This window comes from Homo sapiens, chromosome 9, assembly GCF_000001405.40.
Source record: "Homo sapiens chromosome 9, GRCh38.p14 Primary Assembly".
Taxonomy (NCBI): domain Eukaryota; kingdom Metazoa; phylum Chordata; class Mammalia; order Primates; family Hominidae; genus Homo; species Homo sapiens.
Genome location: NC_000009.12, coordinates 81,940,799 through 81,963,442, shown reverse-complemented (window position 1 = coordinate 81,963,442; position 22,644 = coordinate 81,940,799). Strand labels below are relative to the sequence as shown.

At 42.1% G+C, this 22,644-nt stretch overlaps 1 protein-coding gene and 1 long non-coding RNA gene across 3 annotated transcripts in view; one reads left to right on the top strand and one right to left on the bottom strand.

Annotated features, from left to right (window-relative positions):
- LOC105376105 (uncharacterized) overlaps window positions 1-22,644 on the top strand; it is a 91,092-nt gene that overhangs the window by 13,647 nt on the left and 54,801 nt on the right. The window contains exon 4 of one of the 2 annotated variants that reach the window (NR_188610.1): window positions 16,957-17,053. This is a non-coding gene — a long non-coding RNA (uncharacterized LOC105376105). Of the gene's footprint in view, window positions 1-16,956; window positions 17,243-22,644 lie in introns of both variants that reach the window. The other variant, NR_188611.1, reaches the window with a different exon arrangement.
- SPATA31D3 (SPATA31 subfamily D member 3) lies at window positions 13,350-19,943 on the bottom strand. The gene is made up of 4 exons (NM_207416.3): window positions 19,672-19,943; window positions 18,870-18,915; window positions 18,211-18,271; window positions 13,350-17,896 (listed from the first exon to the last, which is right to left on the bottom strand). Exons 1-4 carry the CDS (start codon window positions 19,855-19,857, stop codon window positions 15,436-15,438), a joined length of 2,754 nt encoding a protein of 917 aa, NP_997299.2. The 5' UTR covers window positions 19,858-19,943; the 3' UTR covers window positions 13,350-15,435.

The window sequence follows — 22,644 nt, the reverse complement described above, 5'->3', positions numbered from 1 at the left end:
CTGTGCTACTACACTGTGAAACTGTATAGTGTTATTTGAAAGTGAATTAAGATTGGCTGTAAATGCAATATATTACAAACTAGGGCAACCACTAATTTTTTTTTTTTAAGAAATGTAATTTATGGCTGGGCACAGTGGCTCATACCTGTAATCCCAGCACTTTAGGAGACCAAAGCAGGAGGATCACTTTAACCTAGGAGTTAAAGACCAGCCTAGGCAACATAGTGAGACTCCAACTGTACAAAAAGGTTTTTTAAAAATTAGCTGGGCATGGTGGCACATTCCTGTTATCCCAGCTACTTGGGAGGCTGAGGTGGGAGCATTTTGTGAGCCCAAGAGGTAAAGGCCGCAGTGAGTCATTACCATCCCACTGTACTCCAGTCTGGGCAACAGAGCTAGACCCCATATCAAAAATAATCAAATATAATTTACAACCTAAGAGAAAAGAGAATAATTGAATCATATAAAATGCTTGTTTAAAAAAAATCCTCAAACCAGCCGGGCGCAGTGGCTCAAGCCTGTAATCCCAGCACTTTGGAAGGCCGAGGCAGGCGGATCACGAGGTCAGGAGATCGAGACCATCCTGGCAAACACGGTGAAACCCCGTCTCTACTAAAAATACAAAAAAAATTAGCCGGGCGTGGTGGCAGGTGCCTATAGTCCCAGCTACTCGGGAGGCTGAGGCAGGAGAATGGCATGAACCCGGGGGGCAGAGCTTGCAGTGAACGGAGATCACACCACTGCACTCCAGCCTGGGCAACAGAGCGAGACTCTGTCTCAAAAAAAAAAAAATCCTCAAATCATAAAGGAAGTTGGTAAAAGGAACAAAGGAACTACAAAACAGAAATTGATAAAATGGCCATAGGAAATCCTTACATATCAATAATTATTTTAAATGTGAATCTCCCATCAAAAGACATAGAGTGCCTGGGTTTTAAAAAAAGATATAACTGGCCAGGCTTGGTGGCTCACGCCTGTAATCCGAGCACTTTGAGAGGCCGAGGCAGGTGGATCACCTGAGGTTGGCAGTTCATGACCAGCCCGCCCAACATGGAGAAACCCCGTCTCTACTAAAAATACAAAATTAGCCGGGCATGGTGGCGCATGCCTGTAATCCCAGCTACTTGGGAGGCTGAGGCAGGAGAATAGCTTGAACCCGGGATGTGGAAGTTGTGGTGAGCTGAGATCGCACCACTGCACTCCAGCCTAGGCAACAAGAGTGAAACTCCGTCTCAAAAATAAATAAATTAAAAAGTAAATAATAATAATAATAAAGATATAATTAACTCTTATACTGCCTACAAGAGATTCATTTTAGCTTTAAGAACACACATAGACTGAAAGTAAAGAGATGGAAAAAGATATTTCGTGCAAATGGTAACCAGAAGAGAGCAGGAGTGGCTATACTTATATCAGACAAAATAGATATAATGTATACCAAAAGAAAATGAAATCAGTACCTTGTAGAGATATCTACACTCCCATGTTCATTGCAACATTACTCACAATAGCCAAGATATAAGAACAACCAAACTGTTCATCAGTTAATGAATAAAGGAATTATGAGATATATATATATCAGCCTTTAAAAAAGAAGGAGATCCTGTCATTTGCAAAAACATGGATGAACCTGGTGGGCTTATGCTAAATGAAATAAGTCAAGACACAGAATGAAAAATACTACATGGTCTCACTTGTATTTGGAATCTTTTTTTATAAAAAGTTGAATATATAGAAACAGAGTAGAACAGTGGTTACCAGGGTGGGGGCAGTGGGAGTGAAGGAAGCAGGGAAGAAGTAGGTACAAAATTGTAGTTATGTAGGATAAAAAAGTCTAGAGACTTGATAATGTACAACATGATTTTAGGTAATAATACTGTATTGTATGCTGGAAGCTTGCTAAAAGAGTAGGTTTTAGATGCTCTTGCCACAAAAAAAGTAACTGATGGCTATGTTAATTGGCTTGACTATAGTAATCATTTCACTATGTTTATCAAAACATCATGTTTTACACCTTAAATATGAATAATTAAAAATAAATAGTGTAAAATTCTTGTTTAAAACCATAGAAGGCAAAAAAGTGAGGGAGAAAAAGGAAAGAACTGGTACAATGAATAGTAAGCAGTTGCAGAAATGGTAGATATTAATCCAACTGTATTTTAAAAATTGCTTTAAATGTGAATCGCCTAAATTAACCAATTAAAAGACAAACTGTCAGAGTAGATTAAAAAACAAGACCCAACTATGTGTTGTCCACAAGATACCCATTTATTTATTTATTTATTTGTTTGTTTATTTAGGGACAGTTTTGCTCTTGTCGCCCAGGCTGGAGTGCAATGGCGTGATCGTGACTCACTGCAACCTCCGTCTTCCGGGTTCAAGTGATTCTTCTGCCTCAGCCCCAGTGAGTAGCTGGGATTACAGGCACCTGCTGCCATGCCCAGCTAATTTTTGTATTTTTTTTTTTTTTTTTTTTTTTTTTTTTTGAGACGGAGTCTCGCTCTGTCGCCCAGGCTGGAGTGCAGTGGCGGGATCTCGGCTCACTGCAAGCTCCGCCTCCCGGGTTCACGCCATTCTCCTGCCTCAGCCTCCCAAGTAGCTGGGACTACAGGCGCCCGCCACTACGCCCGGCTAATTTTTTGTATTTTTAGTAGAGACGGGGTTTCACCATGTTGGCCAGGCTGGTCTGGAACTCCTGACCTCAGGTGATCCACCTGCCTCGGCCTCCCAAAGTGCTGGGATTGCACCTCAGGTAAGCCACCATGTCCAGCCCACAAGATAGCCATCTAATATATAAAGGCACAGATAGATTAAAAGCAAAGGGATGGAGATAAACATACCATACTAACAGTAATCGGAAGAAAATAGAGGCAGCTATATTAATTTAAAACAAGTCAGATTTCAGCACAAGGAAAATTGTCAGGGATAAAGAGGGGCATTACATGATAACAAAGGGGTCAATTTTCCAAAAAGCCATAATAATTCCTAATGTGTACACATCTAACAACAAGAGTGTCAAAATATATGAGGCAAAAGTGGTAGAACTACAAGGAGAAATAGATAAATCCACTATTATTGTGGGAGATTTCAAAATGTCTCTATTAGTAATTGACAGATAAAGCAGAAAATCTGTGAAGATATAGTTGATCAGAACACCACTAGTAATCAGCTTGATCTAACTGACATGTATTGAATACTTCATTCAACAGCATTCTGTTCAAGCTTACATGGAACATTAACTAAGGTAGATAACATTCTGGGCCATAAAGCATACCTTAATAACTATAAAAGAAATTATATAATGTCTACTCATATAATGCTACATATGGTCTAACCATAATGTAGCAAAACTAGAAATCAATAACATAAAGATATCCAGAAAATCCCAAAATACATGAAGATTAAACAACACACATGGGCAAAGAAGAAGTATCAAGAGAAATTTTAAAATATTTTAAACTAAATGAAAGTGGAAAAATCAAAATTTGCTGCAAAATCAAAATTGTAGCAAAAATAGTGTTTAGAAGGAAATTTCTAGCATTAAATACACATGTTAGAAAAGAATAAAGACCTAAAATCTCTGTACAGCTCTGGCTCACTTAACTGACAGATGTCTCTCTGTTTCCAAAATATTGGAAAACACAGATTACTCTTTAGGTAGCACAGAGATAGAAGGAGGAGCCCCATCCTACACAGGAAGGCAAGGATAGGAATACCCAGGAAGTCAAGCTGGAGCTCAGCCATGGTGCAGTAAGGCTTCTGAGACAAAGAAGGTAGTCTTCATTATCAGAAGCTGAGTGCTGAGTCCCCATTCCAGATCAGAGTTCCAGGCCTATATCATGGAACTTTAACACAGACACCAGAAGTTCTTGAGGGTGGGGCGGGGACAACAAATGGAAGATGAACCCACAGTTCTTCCCCCTATCATCTAGCCCAACTGATCTGTCCATTCCCCTGGGTCCTTTTAGATCTTCATCTTACCCTCCAACTGCACCCTTTCATGATACTATATGTTTACATTAGTAACATTTTCTATTTATTCCACCTATTACCTTTTACTGCTTCATGATCCGCCTTTGGAGCCCACTATCTTTGAAAGTGACGTGGCCATGGATTTACACCTTCAAGATCTACTCTGTCCTCAACTATAACCTCCCCATGAACACAATGTTTTTTTTTCACCTGTACAAAACCAGGAATATACTCAGCAGCAACCTATCCCCTCCATATTTCTTCAAAAAGATCCATGTTTACCAAAAGCCATCAGAGAACAGAGTAACCTGTACAACAAAGAGGGACACAAAGGCATGGCCCATCTCTGGCAAAAAATTTGGAACTCTTTCAGTAATTTTTTCTCCTCTAATCTCTCTTAGGCTATTCACCCCTAAGGGCTCTCAAATCTAGCTCCCTCTACCTATACAGTGTTCTATCCTATGCACCTTCTTTCTTCTCTTTACCAAACCCCCTCTCTTCTTCCCAGCATTTTAAAATTCTGCCTCAATTTCACAGAGCAACTGTGCTGAACCACAACCCACATAACCAAACTTATCCTGATTTAGGAAGCAGATTTCTCCTTAGTGTAATATAGCCTATAATGAGCACAACTGAAACTTAGCATAGCATTTTGTTTTGAATTATGCCTATGATTACTTCTTTTATGAAAGTTTTTATTATTTTTTTCCATCTACTTCCTAACTTTTCACCCCAATTCCTATGGCTCCTCTATACTTTTTTCAAACAATGTCTATTTTGTTTATAGTATATATGTATTTATCTCCCCATGTTAGCCAGTCATTTAACAGTTACAACCCTTGAAGCTTCTCTACTTAGGTTATGAACTGCTGAAATTAAGCCTTGTGTCATTGCCTTACACTGCTTGCCTAAATTCCCTCACTGAGTCTGATGACTCCATCTTGACCCCAGGCACCCAATCCTTTTCATCTGATGAGGGTTTACCAGTGATGACAGCTTTGCCTGTCTTCTGTATCCACAGCTTCTCCATTTTCTCTACCCAAAAGGAGGTAAACTTTAAGCCTGCCTCCTCACATCTACCCTCCCTTGACTACAGGAGGTCTCTCTGTTGAGAAATATATCTCCATACAGCCTTGCATCCTGATGGTTTTTGTTGTTTTGTATGTTTGGTTTCATTCTGTTTGTTTATAATGTCTGGTCCTAACAGCCTGTATGGTCCCTAGAACTCACAAATGTAAAAATGTCCTTTACAGCCAGAGCAAGATAAGCTCCACCATAAACTTTCTAAGAAGAGAGGATTATAAAAATTACACATTGAATATATTCTTCAAAAAGGGTGATGCCATAAAAAAATGTTGAGAAACTGCTCTAGATTAGAGACTAAAGACACATGAGAACTAAATGCAATACATAATTCTAGACTGGATCCTGTAATGGAGGTTATTTTTAAGCCACAAAGGATATTACTGACAAAAATGGAATATGGATAAGAGATTAATTAAAAGTTTTACACCAATGCTCAATTTACTGAAGGGGATAATTGACTATGTAAAAGAATATTCTTTTCTTAAGAAATACACAGTGAAATAGTCAAGAAGAAAGTGGATGATGTATGAAAAGTATTCTCTGATGTCCAGGAATTCGTGTGTGTGTGTGTGTGTGTGTGTTTGTGTGTGTGTGTGTGTGTAGAGAGAGAGAGAGAAGAGAGGAGGTAGGAGGGAGGGATATAGGAGAGAGATCACAAATGGGTCAAAATGTGAATAGGCAAATCTGGATAAAAGTTACACTGTTGTGATATGGTTTGGATGTTTCGTTTCCTCCAAATCTCATGTTAAAATATGACCACCAGTGTTGGAGGTGGGTCTAGTGGGAGGTGTTTGTGTCAAAGGGGTGGATCCCTCATGAATGGCTTGGTGCCCTCCCCATGGTAATAAATGAGTTCATATGAGATCTGGCTGTTTAAAAGAATGTGCCACCTCCTCCACTCTCTCTCCTGATCCCTCTCCCACCATGTGACATGTTGGCTCTAGTCTTCATTCTGCCATGATTAAAAATCTTCTGAGGCCCTCTCCAGAAGCAGATGCTGTTGCCACCTTTCCTGTATAGCCTGCAGAACTGTGAGCCAAAATAAAATTCTTTTTGTCATAAATTACCCAGCCTCAGGTATTTCTTTATGGCAATGCAAATGAACCAATATATTGTTGTTTACCATCCATGCAACTCTTCTGCAAGTTTAATTATATTAAACTTCAAATAAATACATTTTTAATGGACCATTGACTACATTTTTATATAACATTTGAGATTTTTGGCTTTGATTCCCACAGTTGCCACCACCACACCTGGACCTAGTAGTGTACAAAGTTGGCATGGTGTACTAATACACCAAAGTAGTATGCCATGCCAACTTTAAAACACTTGTTTCAGGTTCTGTTCCAGGCAAGAACCTGGGATTCCCTTTCCACATTTGAAGCATGCTGACATTTCAACAGGGTTTTACAATATACTGAAAAAGAGCTCCCCCAAAAAAAGATTTTAATTATGTATAAAAAATTTATACACTGCAATATGGTTTGGCTGTATCCCCACCCAAATCTCATCTTGAATTGTAGCTCCCATAATTCCCATGTGTTGTGGGAGGGCCCTGATGGGAGATAATTTAGTCATGGGGGCAGTTTCCCCCATCCTGTTCTCATGGTAGTGAATACATCTCATGAGAGCTGACCGTTTTATAAGGGTTTTCCCCTTTCACTTGGCTCTTATTATCTCTTGTCTGCCACCATGTAAGACGTGCCTTTTACCATCCACCATGATTGTGAGGCCTCCCCAGACACATGGAACTCTGATTCCATTAAACCTTTCTTTATAAATTACCTAGTCTCAGATATGTCTTTATCAGCAGTGTGACAATGGACTAATAAAGTAAATTGGTACCGGGTGTAGTGGGGTGCTGCTCTAAAGATACCTGAAAATGTGGAAGCGACTTTGGAACTGGGTAACAGGCAGAGGTTGGAACAGTTTGGAGGGCTCAGAAGAAGACAGGAAAATGTGGGAAAGTTTGGAACTTCCTAGAGACTTGTTGAATGGCTTTGACCAAAAGGTTGATGATGATATAGACAATGAAATCCAGGCTGAGGTGGTCTCAGATGGAGATGAGGAACTTGTTGGGAACTGGAATAAAGGTGACTCTTGCTATGTTTTAGCAAAGAGACTGGGAGAATTTTGCCCCGCACTAGAGATTTGCAGAACTTTGAAGTTGAGGGAGATGATTTAGGGTGTCTGGCAGAAGAAATTTCTAAGCAACAAAAAGCATTGAAGAGGTGACTTGGGTGCTGTTAAAAGCATTCAGTTTTAAAAAGACAACAGAGCATAAAAGTTTGGATAATTTGCAGCCTGACAATGCAATAGCAAAGAAAAACCCATTTTCTGAGAAGAAATTCAAGTCAGGTGCAGAAATTTGCATGAGTAATGAGGACCCAATTGTTAATCCTCAAGACAATGGGGAAAATGTATTTAGGGCATGTCAGAGACCTTTGCAGCAGCCCCTCCCATCACAGACCCAGAGGCCTAGGAGGAAAAAATGGTTTCATGGGACAGGCCCAGGGTCCTCCTGCTTTGTGAAGCCTAGGGACTTAGTGCCCTGCATCCCAGCTGCTCTACCCATAGCTAAAAGTGTCCAAGGTACAGCTCAGGCTGTGGCTTCAGAGGGTGCAAGCCCAAAGCCTTGGCAGTTTCTACATGGTATTCCTGTGGGTGCCCAGAAGAATTGAGATTTGGGAACCTCTGCATAGATTTCAGAGGATCTATAGAAATTCCTGGATGTCCAGGCAGAAGTTTGCTGCAGGGGTGGGGACCTCATGGAGAACCTCTGCTAGGGAAATGTGGAAGGAAAATGCCAAAACCATGGGAACTCACCTCTTGCATCAGCATGACCTGGATGTGAGACATGGGGTGAAAAGAGATAATTTTGGAGATTTGACTGCCTTGCTGGATTTTGGACTTGCATGGGACCTGGAGCCCCCTTTGTTTTGGCCAATTTCTCCAATTTGAAATGGCTGTATATACCTAATGCCTGTAACCCCATTGTATCTAGGAAGTAACTAACTTGTTTTGATTTTACAGGCTTATAAGTTGAAGGGACTTGCATTGTCTCAGAAGAGACTTTGAACTGTGGATTTTTGAGTTAATGCTGAAGTGAGTCAAGACTTTGGGGGACTGTTGGGAGACATGATTGGTTTTCAAATGTGAGTACATGAGATTTAGGAGGGGCCACAGGAGGAATAATATGGTTTGGCTATCCCCACCCAAATCTCATCTTTTTTTTTTTTTTTTTTTTTTTGAGACGGAGTCTTGCTCTGTCACATCAGGTTGGAGTGCAGTGGTGTGATCTCCACTCACTGCAAGCTCTGCCTCATGGGTTCATGCCATTCTCTTGCCTCAGCCTCCCGAGTAGCTGGGACTACAGTTGCCTGCCACCATGCCTGGCTAATTTTTTGTATTTTTTAGTAGAAACGGGGTTTCACCATGTTAGCCAGGATGGCCTCGATCTCCTGACCTCATGATCCACCCACCTCAGCCTCCCAAAATGCTGGGATTACAGGCGTGAGCCACTGCACCTGTCCCCAGATCTCATCTTGAATTGTAGCTCTCATAATTCCCATGTGTTGTGGGAGGGACCTTGTAGGAGATCACTGAATCATGGGGGCAGTTTCCCCCATACTGTTCTCATGGTAGTGAATAAGTCTTACAATATCTGACTGTTTTATAAGGGGTTTCCCCTTTCACTTGACTGTCATTCTCTCTTGTCCATTGCCATGTAAGATGTGCCTTTCACCTTCTGCCATGATTGTGAGGCCTCCCCAACCACATGGAACTGTGAGTCCATTAAACCTCTTTTTCTTTAAAAATTACCCAGTCTCAGGTATGTCTTTATCCGCACCATGAGAACAGACTAATATACAATGTAAAACAAAAAAGAATCAAAATTTCAATGAACCTTGTTTATGGCATGTAACTCCTAATTTCTTGTTTGGTTCCATCATGTCACTTGTATTCTGCAGTTTTGTGGTGTGATGTGGTTTGACTCTCTGTCCCCTCCCAAATCTCATGTTGAATTGTAATCTCCAGTGTTGGGGGAGAGATCCAGTGGGAGGTGATTGGATCATGGGGGTAGATCTTCCCTTTGCTGTTCTTGTGTTAGCAAGTTCTCACAAGACCTGATTGTCTGAAAGTGTGTAGTACTTCCTCCTTAGCTTTCTCTCTCCTGTGCCATGTGAAGACATGCTTGCTTTCCCTTTGCCTTCTGCCATGATTGTAAGTTTCCTGAGGCCTCCCCAGCCATGCCTCCTGAACAACTTGTGGAACTATCAGTCAATGAAACCTCTTTTCTTCATAAATTACCCACTCTGAGGTAGTTCTTTATAGCAGCATGAAAATGGACTAATACATGGTGTGAATTGGTTTGCAGGCACTAAGTCAATTACCTGTCCTCTACCAGATTTCCACCTTCCAAAAATGAGTTGACCTTTTTTGTTGTATCCTCTCCTGTCCCTGTCATGTCAAGCATTTATTTTTTAAATCCTTCAGTTTTTAAAGCAGTTTTATTGAAATACAGTTCACATACCGTATAAGTCACCCATTTTAAGTGTATAATTCAGTGATTTTTATATTCACAGAGTTGTGTATCCATCACCAGTCATTTTAAAAACATTTTTATGACTTCAAAAAGAAACCATATATCCTTTAGCTATTACATTTCTTGCACCTCATTAATCTAGTTCTAAGTCTACTTTATCTCTGTGTAATAATGTCTCTATTCTGGACATCAGAATGGAATCATTTGTGGTTATTTGTGATTGACCTTTCACTCAGCATAAAATTTTCAAGGTTTATCTATGTTGTACCATGTGTCAATACTTTATTCCTTTTTATGGCTAGATAGTAATCTGTTGTATGGATATACCACATTCTGTTTATACATTCATCAGTTGATGGATATTTGAATTGTTTCCATCTTTTGGCTATTTGAATAATGCTGCGATGAACCTTTGTGTACAAGTTACTTTGCACTCACATATTTTCATTTCTCTTGGTATATACTTAGGATTGGATTTGCTGGGTTATATGCCAACATTTTGAGGAACTGCCTGTTTTCCAAAGCAGCTGTACCATTTCACATTCCCACTCTCAGTGTATGAGGCTTCCAATTTCTCCAACTTATCTCAAACACTTGTCTATTTTATTCCAGCCATCCTAGTGGGCATGAAGTGCTATCTCATGTTGATTTTTATTTGTATTTTTCTGATGACTAATGATGTTGAGCCTCTTTTCATATAATCTTTTACTCTTAATTGCACTATGGGAAGGAGGGTAGATAAACATGTATATTTGATCTAATTTATATAAGTGGAAACATGAATACTCATTTTAAATATGTGATAGAAAAAATTTCTTTTAAATATTTGAAAACACTTATATGGCAATCTCAAGTTTTTAGCAACATGCACAGTTTTCTACTGTTATTTTCGTGTTATAGTTACTGTGTGATTAAGGGACTGCAATATTGTGCACTGAATTTGCTCTGTAAGGTTGCTTCTTGTATGGACTGTGGGTAAAAATTCAAATGACTCCTTGGGGTTGACTTAAAGGAGAAGTTTAAAGAGAACTGATTGCAAAGGCCACTAAAGTTCAATGTGTTTGTCACCAATGCTGTGTACATCTGTTGTAGATAAGTGTGTTCCTCGTGTGATAAATATCAAAGGAATGTGACAGCATTGACATATGGCACATAGCATATCTTCTAAGAGATGGATGGCAAGATGTTTAAATGGACTTTTGCACTTTAATCATATGTAAAACATGGGATGCATCATCCATACTAAATGATAATTGTGAAATTTAGGTGGTGGGTACATCGGGAGTTATATTGTTCTACCTGCTCTTGTGTATGTTTAACCATCTCTTCAATGAAAGGACTTAAGAAATAAAACATGTTCAGTGCCTCATGAAGAGAAGGAAGCAGCAATAAGCATAACTGGTGCTTTGTCTACTTTGCTAAATCAGCTTTCTCTCCTCCACCAGGTTTTCATCTTCCAAAAATGTGTTAACTCCTTTTTGGTGTATCGTATTGTATTCTTATTATCCTCAAGCACTTCTTCTTTTTAAATCCTTTAAGTTTTATTGCAATATAATACATGAACCACAAAATTCACCCATTTAAAGCATATACTGTGTACCTATTTCAAGGCAAGAATGGATCAGTCCATCAAGACTAGAGTTTAGCTACCACTCAATAGATGCATTTCAGGACATATAATTCCTCTGAAGATAAAACCCTTGGAAGGTGGCCGAGAGCAGTGCTTCACACCTATAATCCCGGCACTTTGAGAGGCCAAGGCAGGCAGATCACTTGAGGTCAGGAGTTCTAGACCAGCCTGGCCAACATGGTGAAAACTTGTCTCTACGAAAAAAAACAAAACAAAACCCGGCATCATGGCATGTGCCTTTAATCCCAGCTATTCAGGAGGCTGAGGCAGGAGAATCACTTGAACCTGGCAGGCGGAGGTTGCAGTGAGCCAAGAACATGCCACTACACACCAGGCTGGGCGAATGAACAAGACTCTGCCTCCAAAAACAGAGGGTTTCTGATGATAACTTTTAGATGTTTCTGATGATAGCTTCTGGGTGTGGCAGTAACTGAACTGGAATGGAGGTAAAGGACCTAACATGGAATGACAGAGGAATTAGGAGGCCAGGTTATTGGAAGCCTATCCACATGGATGCTTGGGCCCTCCATGGATACTCCACCTCCTTAAGTTCTTTGCTCTGGGCTTCATCCCAATTTTGTCCTTCTTAAGGCCTTCACGAAATCTGAATTATTTCTGCAATCCTAAGTTTCACACACAGTAGGGTCAGTGGCATAAGCAAGGACAGGAAAAGAGAAGGATGGTGAAGGAGCTGTAGTGGACATCTGTTTTGTTTTGTTTTGTTTTGTTTTTGTTTTCACACCAAGAATTCACACATTTTTCTGGAAAACCTACCTCAAGTGCCCTCTAGAAAACTCACCTCATTTATTAGTCCCAGTCTGTATAAGTGGAGTTCCCTTCTCTTCAGACCTCTAATATTTTAAGGGTGCATATATGCACACTCTTAGTCATAAGGAGCATTCTGTAAAGATTCATAGCTAGCCTCCAAATGTCTTTAATCCTCATGCATAGTCAAGGACTCATCTCTGGACCATGAGCTGCAGGTGTTCTAGACAATATCTATTATATTCCACTAACCCCATGAAGATCATAGGTTGCACTTCCATCCTGATAGGTGCACCGTATAAACTAAGGGAAGATCTTGCTTGTTACCATAAACATGGCTAGAAAGAAGGCACAAAGATCACCTTCCCTAAAGAGAGGGATGCCATGTTGACAACAGCCCTGCAGATACTGTTTTACTCCTTAAAGAACAGCCCCATGTACACTTCTGCCAAAATGGCATCTGTCAGCTCTTCAAGTGCCCTGGTAAACCTCAAAGGGGCAGTGCCTAGATCCAGATTAAGAAAGGGTCATGATATGGACATGATGGGGCATAAACCTTTTTCGACTAGCATGGTCATCCTTTCCTAGCTTCACTTTTTTCTTACTTTCTCATTCAAAGACATCTTTTCCTTACTGTAAGCTATATTTTACCCTAGGAGGTAGGTGGCTGCCTGGTCAACATTCCTGCCACAGACAGCCAGGTGATTTTTTTGCTCTGTAAAAATGTCATCAATCCAGGCAGCGTGGAGAAATACACAGGGAGGGGAACTACTTCCCCAAGTGACTTAACAGTAGAAAGACCTCAACGTTGAGGTCAAAATATGCTTCCCTAAATCATGGGCATGCCTTTCGTGTCAAATTCTTAAGCAGCATCCACAGTGTTCCTGACACCCTACCCCAACCAGCAATACCCCAAACACTCCCACCAACTTATATGATCCTGTGGTCAGTGACAACTTTTTTTAAATAGTGATTAAACCACTATTTCTGAAAAATGTACCTGTCCTTGAACCTTTCTTCAGATATGGAAGGGCTGCCTTCCTTACTGCTCTAAGGGATATGAAGCAGTGAATGGGGAGGAAGGTGCAGGCTGCCATACGATATCAGTAAGTCTAAAGCAAAGAGGTAGAAAAGAGCTCATCTCCTCAGACTTCATCAGGGAGAGAAGGGGCTTTTGGAGGCACATGATACTCATTCTTCCACAAGAGCTCCAGGGGATTGGTCATCTTTTAAAATTCAAAAGAGGGAGTCAGTAAGGGCTGAGCTAACTCCTACCTTTCCCTAACCACAAGCTTGGGTTACCCAAAACCTATACCTCCAACACAATACACAGAAAAGACATCCTTCTTATTCTTATTAGAACGTTTATTGGGGAGAGTCAAGATTCTCAACAAGGAGTTAATTATTTTTTGGGGGGAAATTTTCCTCCCTGCAAATGCTTTGGAAGTATTTTCTGTCCAGTTAGTAAAGGCACATCACTGAACACAGTGTTTTTAGCACTGGTCAGGATGACCGGAGGCACCAGGTTGACTTCACACTGCAAGTGGGGTTTGGCTGTGGCACAGGCTTCCTGTGGGGCATGGATTGGGGATGCCTTTGACACAATATCTTCCCCTTAAATGTCCAACTTCCTGGGGCTATCTGTCCTTGTCTATGATCTGTCTAATCATTGCAGGATAATTCTGGCCGACAAAGATAGCTTGTTGGCTGCAAGATTTGGTACATGTCACTTTGCAGGAGGGAGCCATGTAGTTGCAGGGATAGCCCTGGACAGGCTCTGCTCTGACCTGCAGTTCTGGCACATTCTGAGATTTCCCAAGCTGCACTGGGGAGGAAAGGGGCTCCTGGGGACAGGTGATATCTATTCAATGTCTATGCCCCAGCTTCTCTTCTATGAACTCCCCAGTGTCTTTCCTAATTTTCTGAGCTTCAATAGTCCCAGTAAAGACAGCTCTACTTTTAACTCGACCTCTATTCTGCACAGATGATGACAAGGAGCTACCCTTTTCCTAGGAACTTTCTTGTTTTCCATATGTTATGATGGGTTTATTAGACTGCTGCAAAAAGGTCTTCATCAATGTTCCGAAAAGGTTTTCAGGAGGAGGCTGTGTTTTCAAGGTTGGGGAAGATTTGCTCCCAAGCGACTCCCTTGATGTCTTGTTATGAATAGCATGGCTCTTTCTTCTGAGTTGGGATGTCCCCAGCCCTGCATCCCCTCCACCAAGCTCTCCTCCATTAGGTCTTAGAGGGCTCACTCTCTTTGTAGCTGGTGAAAAATTCTTAACTTGGCATTTCTGTAAGACATGCGTAGGGACCCTGGGCTCCTGCTGCTGTGCCACACGGATTCCTCTGACCTCCAAGTGGACATGCAGCACCTGGGAAGTTCCCAAGTCCTGATTCGAGATGCCCTGGGCATGAGTCAGTAAGTCCTTGGAACTCAAGTTATCTAAGGCAAGAGACATGCCAGTGAAATGGCTCTGAGGTTGGCTATGCTTCCTCTGGACCAACTTTAACTGGCTCAACATCTGATTTTTAAGATATGATGATTTAGGAGTTTGAGGAACTGATATTCTTGGTGGGAAAATTTCAGTTTCATGAGAAGTGCTTCTTTTCACGTTTGTCACTAAGCAGCTTCCTGACTTGCTGGTTGTCAAGTTGTTCCTAGTTTGTGATTGAAGAGTACAGATCTCCTCTTCCTTGAACATCTCCTTCGACCCATTGGTGACAGGAAAGGTCTTTCTACTGCCCTGAAGCCTGTTAACATTATTACTGGCACTCTCTCTCTTATCCCTTGAATCACGGCCAACTCCAGCTTGCAGTATGGGCAGCTCTGCACTGCATCTACTGGCAAGTACAGTCTGTTTCTGACTGACTTCGTCTATGATGCTGTGTGTGGGGGGCAGAAAAGTCTGTCTGCCATCCTCAGTTGTCCAGACACTTTCTGTAAGATCCTCGTCAGTATCAGCGAATTCTCTTCTGAGGGTCCCCTGCTTTTCTTGATCAACAGGTGAGGTGACGAGGTGAGGATGACCCAAGATGGAGAATGAGCTTGTTGTTTCTAATTTTTCTCCTTGAAAATATGTAGTGCCTCTTCTAAGGGGCGTGGAGGCACCATCTTTGGCATCTGTCTCTATAAGGTCATGGTCAGTATCAGAAAATTGTCTTCTCAGGGTCCCCTGCCCTTCTTTGCCAATAGGTGAGGAGACAGGCTGAGGATGATTAAGGACAGGGACTGAGCTTGTTGTTCCCAACTTTTCTCCTTGAAAAGTGCTTCGTCTACAAGACTTAGAGACCCCATCTTTGGAATCTCCCTGAGAAATAAAGCTGGCTGAGGAGGGAAGGTAGAAATGGGAAAAGGAATTGGAAATATCCTCTTCTGATTTGAAGATTTCTGTGGGTTCACGGATCTTGCGGGGAAGGCCCCACAGCATCCTCATATGGAAAGATTTAATATGGGCTTCATATGGAAAGATTTAATATGGGCTTCCAACATCTTTTGTTTGTTGGAACTAAGGAAGGACATCTCCTGGGAGGTATCAACGCGGTGGTCCTCACTCACCAATGCTGCCAAATTTCGATGTTTAATTTGGCTGTGGGATTTCTCAGGAAGACATATTGTCTGCTTGACTGAGTGCCATGAACTATGCACAGTCCCAGGCATTCGACCCTCATTGATTTCCTCAAATTTCTTGCTCAAATGTACTGTCAGGGCATTTTCAAGTTGTTTCTGACCTAGTCTCACCCCTGAATCATTCCCTGACAGATGCATCATATGAGTTCCTAGGTCTCTCTCAGAGTTAGACCTCAGATCCTCCTCTGAAGATGTCTCCGGATCATGCAAGAGATGGTTTTTTGGGGCAGTCTCCTGGCTGCATCCCTGATAATTCCCCACATTCTCCATGGAAAGCATATTTGAGCTCCTCTCGTGGAAGCTTCTAGGGAAGCTTGATGCGGACTTCTTTAGAACATTGCACCTCTGACCCTCAACCAAAGAGATATTTAATGGACCATGAATGCTCTCTGACACAGATAGCTCTGAAATTTTGTTCTGAGGACGTAGCAATGACAGAGACTCATGGATTCTGCGGGGCAGGCCCCATCTGCGCTGGATGAGCCTCTTTCGAATGTGTTGCTCTAGTTTCTTCCTTACCTCAGAGCTGAGTGGAAAATCTCCAGGAATGATGGAGATGGGAACATGGACCTTGAAGGACTTTCTGACCAATACAGGATTGGGAGCTGGAGGACAAAAGTCTTCCTGGGATTTTTGAACCACAGAGGGTAAACCCCACACACTTTCCTGCACTTTCTGCAACACGTTCCACTCCAGATGATTAATTTCAGATGGCATAAGAGACCGTGCCTCATTCTGGGGTCTATGAAAACACACGCCACACACCCTAATCAGGAATAGAGGACTAGGTGGTAGGGCTGGGAATGGAGATTGAGGTTGAGCCAGGGACTTCACCTGAGTGAGATGTAGGGACTGACCTCGGGGCAGGGTTTGAGGCAAGGGTAGAGGTTGGGTACTAGGCAAGAACAGAGGTTGGGGAGGGGGAAGTACTGGGGATTCATGGGACATAGATGTATTTGTAATGCCATTGAAGAATACAAACATGGAGGAACGGCCATGTTGGACAAAAACAGTAGGATGCAGAGACTCGCTGTGCAAAGATGGGAGACCCCAGAAGAGCTGGACATATTTTTGCTCTAAATGGTCCTCAAAACACTTAGAATATGGGGGCTGCTGATGGATGTGCTGCCACTCTAGTTTGCCTTTACTGGCCCAAAAAGGAAAGGATTCTGCTAAGTCATGCTTAACAGCAGTTGAGGTTAACATATTCCGTGAGGAATTTAGTTGGTAGTTTGGCCTAAGTTGTGTTGGGAATGATCCTGGTTTCTTTCCATTTTCTTTCCACATCAGGAAATCACCCCTTCTTTTGACTTGTCTCTCCAGGAGTGCCGGAATGTCATGGCTGAGAAAAGAGATGTTAACAGGCTGTATGATGTTGGCCACAGAGTGCCCCCCTAAAGAGGCCTCAGAAGAATGAAGGGTAAGAAGCTCCTCCATGAAATCAGATGGCACAAAATTAGAGGAAAAAGAGTCCTTGGCATGAGGCTGCCACCAGGAGAATTCTGAAGATGCAGGGCATGAATGGTCAATGCCTTTCGTTGTTGGGGCAGAGGTGGATGACCCACCAGAGCCACCTAGAGATAACATTTCCGGAAAAGTCTTCAAGACGGTGAGATTTGATTTAGACTGAGTCACAGTGCAATCTTCCGGTGGTAAAGCAGATGGGGTTGGTGGTCCATGATGACGAGCACATGAATCAGTGCGATTCACGGCCTGGGAAATATCTTGGCATAGGGTGGAGCCAAATGAAAAGATGGTGTTCAGAGACAAACTGGCCTCAGGTTGGAGGCTGGGCTCCACTCTCTCAATGTGATGTGGTGGGAGAAGGGGAAAGGGAAGCTGTTGGGGTGGGGAATGGTCTATGGGGAACTTGGAATCCAAGGGAGAAACAGGCTGTGGTGGCAGAGGGTCCCTCAGTGGTGAGGGTGAAAATAAGTCAGCTAAGGTGGTGATCAGGTCAGGTGAGAGAATTAAGGGGGGTGGTGGAGAGGGCTTAGGCCGAGAGGACAATATTAGGTCTTCTGGAGTGGTTGCTGAGGGGGTGGAAGCCAGAGTGAACGATGACTCAGCCCCAGAAGCTGAAGAAGCCAAAGGGGACACAGAGGGAGCAGCATCTTTCAGGGACTCCCAAGACAGCAGTCGCTGGATATCAGCAGTTGCTCTGTTACACACCCGACAGACAGGGTCTGGGCATAACAGTCGACGAAAGAGGGTGGTATCATGATGCTGGCCCAGGGGACTGCAGGAAACAGGAGGTCCAAAGCTGCAGCCAGGATCAGAACAAGGAAATGAGGATCTGTTAGCCTGGCAGGGGTGGGGCCCCCTGAATCCTGCTTCACATTACCCCCCATCCATGAGCTCACCGTATGTGAGGTCATATGACCTCACTATAGCCTCTCCTCAAAGCATTCATTCACATATCCGTTCCTATGGCTACCCACTCCCAAAACTACAGCAGGCTACAAGGAATCCCTGAAATGAATAGAACATGCAAAAAAAAAAAAAAAAAAAAAAAAAAAAAAAAAAAAAAAAAAAAGAAGGCGGTGGGAACAGGATAGAAGGGGAATGATTAATCACCTTTTCAGAAAAGAATGTAGCTTTCTTTCCTCTTCTGCTTCCTTCTGCAAACTTTTCCGGTCTGGAAACCAGAACAGCATGTTACATGCAATGAAGGTAGAGGCACAGGGATCATACAGAAGTAACTCTGTGGAAGACCCTTGGGATATTAAACTCTGATAGCCCCAAGAATCAGTAGAAAAGGGCAAATATTCATTGATAATGTTCACAAGTTCACATGTGTATGTGGAATCATTAGTAGAATTCTTTCATATACATTATCCCATGTGATGCTCAAAACCACCACGTGAAACATAGACATCAGTGGTTACCTCCAGGAGGAATCCGAGCATCAAGGAAGTCAAAGTACTTATGCAAAGTTGTAAGACAGAAACTCTGACTCCAAGCCAACCAGTAGTCCTTCCTCGATATCTCAGGTGGCCACCAATTGGGCAACACCCATTACTCAGGTCCATCACTTTGTCATGCCCATGAATGGGCAGAGCAGGGCCTATGAGCAGTGTCTCAGGTCTGATTGATTTCCCACGAGCCTGTCTTCTGAGGGCTCTGTTTTCTGAGACTATCTAGTAACTGACATTCTAAGAAATCATGGGACTGAGTCCTCATGAAAGAGACAGAAAGGGTCACCCTGAAGCTCAGATAGAATAGGCTGACATTACCTTTAAATGTCACGCTTTTTCTTTTCCTCCTGGCTCTGCCCTGATGCTGAGAATGAAACAAAGATAATGACAGGCTGGTACTCACTTCTCTCACACTCTTTGAAGCTCATTCATTCATTCATTCATTCATTCATTATACAAGAATGATATGACTCTCTAATTAATAGAAATATATTCTTGTTATCAATTTTTAAAGGTCATAAAATATTTCTTGTTTTCCCTTCTCTGAAAAGCTGAAAGAGGATTTCTTCTGTGAGAGCCACACTTGATGTGCTCAGTTAGAAGTCCTCATCCAGGGCACAGACTCAGAGGTCGACAGTCACATCTGTGCTCCCTCACAGGGCAAGCATCCCAGAGACAGAGCTCTGGCTCCAGCCTCTGCTCAGAGACTCTCAGCGTTACTCCCCTGGTCAGCCCAACAAGAAGGAAGGCTTTGTTGAATGACGGGTGACATGGGAATCTGACTCATGATCAAATTTCAGCAGAGACTATTCTCCTTCAGAGAGCCCAGACTCTCTAAATAATCCCACCTGGGACCACAGAATTACTGTTTGGGATTTTATCCTGGAACTCTCCACCACAGCCGGATAGGTAGTCTATGAGCTACAGATGGAAACCTTTGTCCTCCTGAACCCCTACATCTGCCCAACCTGTTCCACAGAAGAGTGAAGTTCTATCCTCTCTTCAGACTTCCCATCTAAGACATGTCTCTGTACTAACCAAACTTATTTAGAAATGTGGGAATAGGATTCGGAAACAAAAACAGGGCATCTCTCTTGGGTGTTCACCCACAGTTCCTTACCTTTTGGGTGTCATTATTTTTTTCGGTGGGTGATGAATACAGGGTCAATACCATGTAGAACAAGTACAGTATAAACAACCCCAACCCACTCAAGCAGATGAAGTTGAGGTCAATATCCAAACAATGTGAGTCAGGGCTCAGCCCTGTCTCAGTATAGCTGTTCAGAAAACAGAGGATATTCTCCATGGTCTGAATAGCTCAGCTGCCTGAAGCAACTGAGCACTGAGGGTGCCCAGGCTTAACTGTAAGCACAGGCCTGCATCACAGAGCGTGGAAGAGTCACAGAGGGTTTCTGAGGGTGGAGGGATCAACAAGAGGAGGGTGTGTCCACAGCCCCAACCCCACCAGCCCAGCTGACTCCACCTTCCTGGGCCCTCTAGGTCGCTCTGTCCTACCCTAACACTCCATTTCCCAACTCCATCCTTTTTCAAGTCATATATTTATCTTAGTTGAATTTTCCGTTTGTTCCAACAGTAAACCAGGCATTACCCAAGTCCCACTTCGCTGTTTGGAGCCCTTAACTTGGACCCCACCAACTACACTGCCTTGAAAGCCTGAAATACTGCCTGGAATATTTGTTGTACCCAGGCTTTTCTACTCTCAGGATCACATATGTCCTCAAATCCGTCTTATCTACAGTATGTTTTTGCCTTACATAAATGCAGATATAAAACTTAAACTTCCTTTATTCTTACTTCGTTTCGTGAATGGTGAACATTACATTCTTTGTTTGAAGTCAGTTTTTACTATTTCCAATCAGAGGGACTGACTCAAATGATTAAAACTAACGTTATCAAGGAAAAGAAGCTCCCTGCCCAATTTGATTTTTTTGAGAAAAGATGTTTTTATTGGAAATTAACCAAAAAGGAGACAGGAGTCCAGCTCAAATCAGTCCTGTGTGCTGGCTTTCATGCAGTCATTTTATTAGAAAACATTTAGGGAGTGGCCTCTGGAATTAATAGTTGATTGCTGGAAGGAAAGGGGAGGTCTGAAAATCCTCGGCATGCACAGTTTTCTTTAACGCTGCCTCATGTATTCCATGGGCACATTTGTGGGGAGTTGGTTAAAATGTGGCAGAAATTTGGGCTGTGACGCCAGCCAGCTTGTTCTGTGCAAACTCCAGTTGGCCTTAATAGTTTTAATCCATTTTAGCCAGTTTTTAAATCTCAGAAGCAGGGAGAGTTTCGGCATTTTAGCAAGTTACTGTTGTTGTTTTTGTTTGATCTCCTTTCTTGTAAACTGATTAATTTCATTAGTCATTGTTTTCTTCAACTCTCTGGGGCATGGTTTCACTAATAATGCATTATTTAACATCTACAAAATGAAAATAAGTGTACAATAAATGTATATAATTGAAACTTCCAGGGACCTTAGGGGTAAATTTATAGAACTTATTTTTCTCAAGTTAGTGAAGTTTAAACTGTTCAAGCACTTTTGGAACATACTCTGTACACAAACACACATACGCATCGACCTAAAAGGGAGAAGTTGATGGAAAATTATTATAAGTAGAGAGTTAATTTGGGTCAAGCTTGAGGATTGCAACCTGGGAACACAGATGCAAGTCAGCCTAAATATACACTCCAATTACCAGTAGTTATGAGTGGGTTTTTAAAGTGGAAAAAGGGGACAAGGAGTCGGCTGATACAAAGTTGTAATCAGGAATTCTCATTGGTTTACAGGAGTGACATTGCTTAGTGATTGGCTGTACATTATTAAGCTATAGGGGGTGGGTTATCCTGTCAGGTGTGGCATTATTGGGTTACTATATAGCTCCATATGGCAATAGCAAGCAGTTTCAAGAGATGAATGTGTAGCTCAAGGAGGAAATAAGGCTGTGATTTCTGTCTCATTTTAATGTCTCTCTAGGCCTGATAACTTAAAAGGACTCACATGCCTCAGATAAAAGTTCTTTTCTTTACAAACACATCCACACACCCATCCTGTGACAAATCAATGAGTGTTTTCAAATCCAGAATCAATTAGTTCCTCCTTTTATTTTAATTTCTTATTTGTCATTTTGACCCCACATTTTCTAACTCTACCGCAAACACAACCAGGCCCAACCCTCCACATCACTTTGGTGGCAAGTATGCAACTCCCTTAAAGCAGGGATAGGTTACAGTGCGCTAAGCTATTGTGATCTAAAAGACCAAAATAGATGCCCCTTTATCAACTAAGACAGACCCTTAGGTTAAGGAAACAAAGTTACCGATGGGTCAAGGGTTCAGGGCCTGGATGGCATGGCAAATTTCTAACTTTCTATAACTAAACTCCCTCTCACCAAATGAGCTATCGGCTCTGATTGGACAGAGGACCGGCCTTACAAACATTCTTTTCTGATAAGCTACTAATATTAGAGATTTCCAGTTTCTGCCAGATTATAGAGGCGGCACACAAACCGCCTCTGTCCTACAGTTCACCTTATCATGTAAAGGGCCAAATTCTACCTCATTTTAGTGCTAAAACCAAGGTGAACATGGGATGTATGTTACATATGTTTACTCATTATGGTGTGCTTGGCTCCTGCATAAATATATATAGCTTTTCCCCCAAACTTATTGAATATGTATGAATATGAATATAAAACCCAACCTGTCCTTCCCCTATTCCAACAGACAGCAGCTTTATTCCACACTGGATGCTTTCCCTTCCTGGCTTGCAAACTGATTAAGCAATAAGGCTCTCCTTTCTACTATTTAGTCATCTTGGTGCTCTTTTGGATGATACTACTGATCCCATCAGTGTTTGGTAGCAGAGTGAGACTTAGGTGTGTCAAAGCCTTAGAGCAGAACGTAGTCTTAAGCAACCTCACCTGACTACACTGTGGGCCATGTAAATGTGATCTTTTCCTGAGTGCCTTGGCATCCAAAAAACTTGAGAACATCTGCTTTATATTCTATATAATCACTTCTGCAAATGTCCAAATACCAACTACCTGTCATACTTTATTCAGGTGACTCCTGTCAGGTT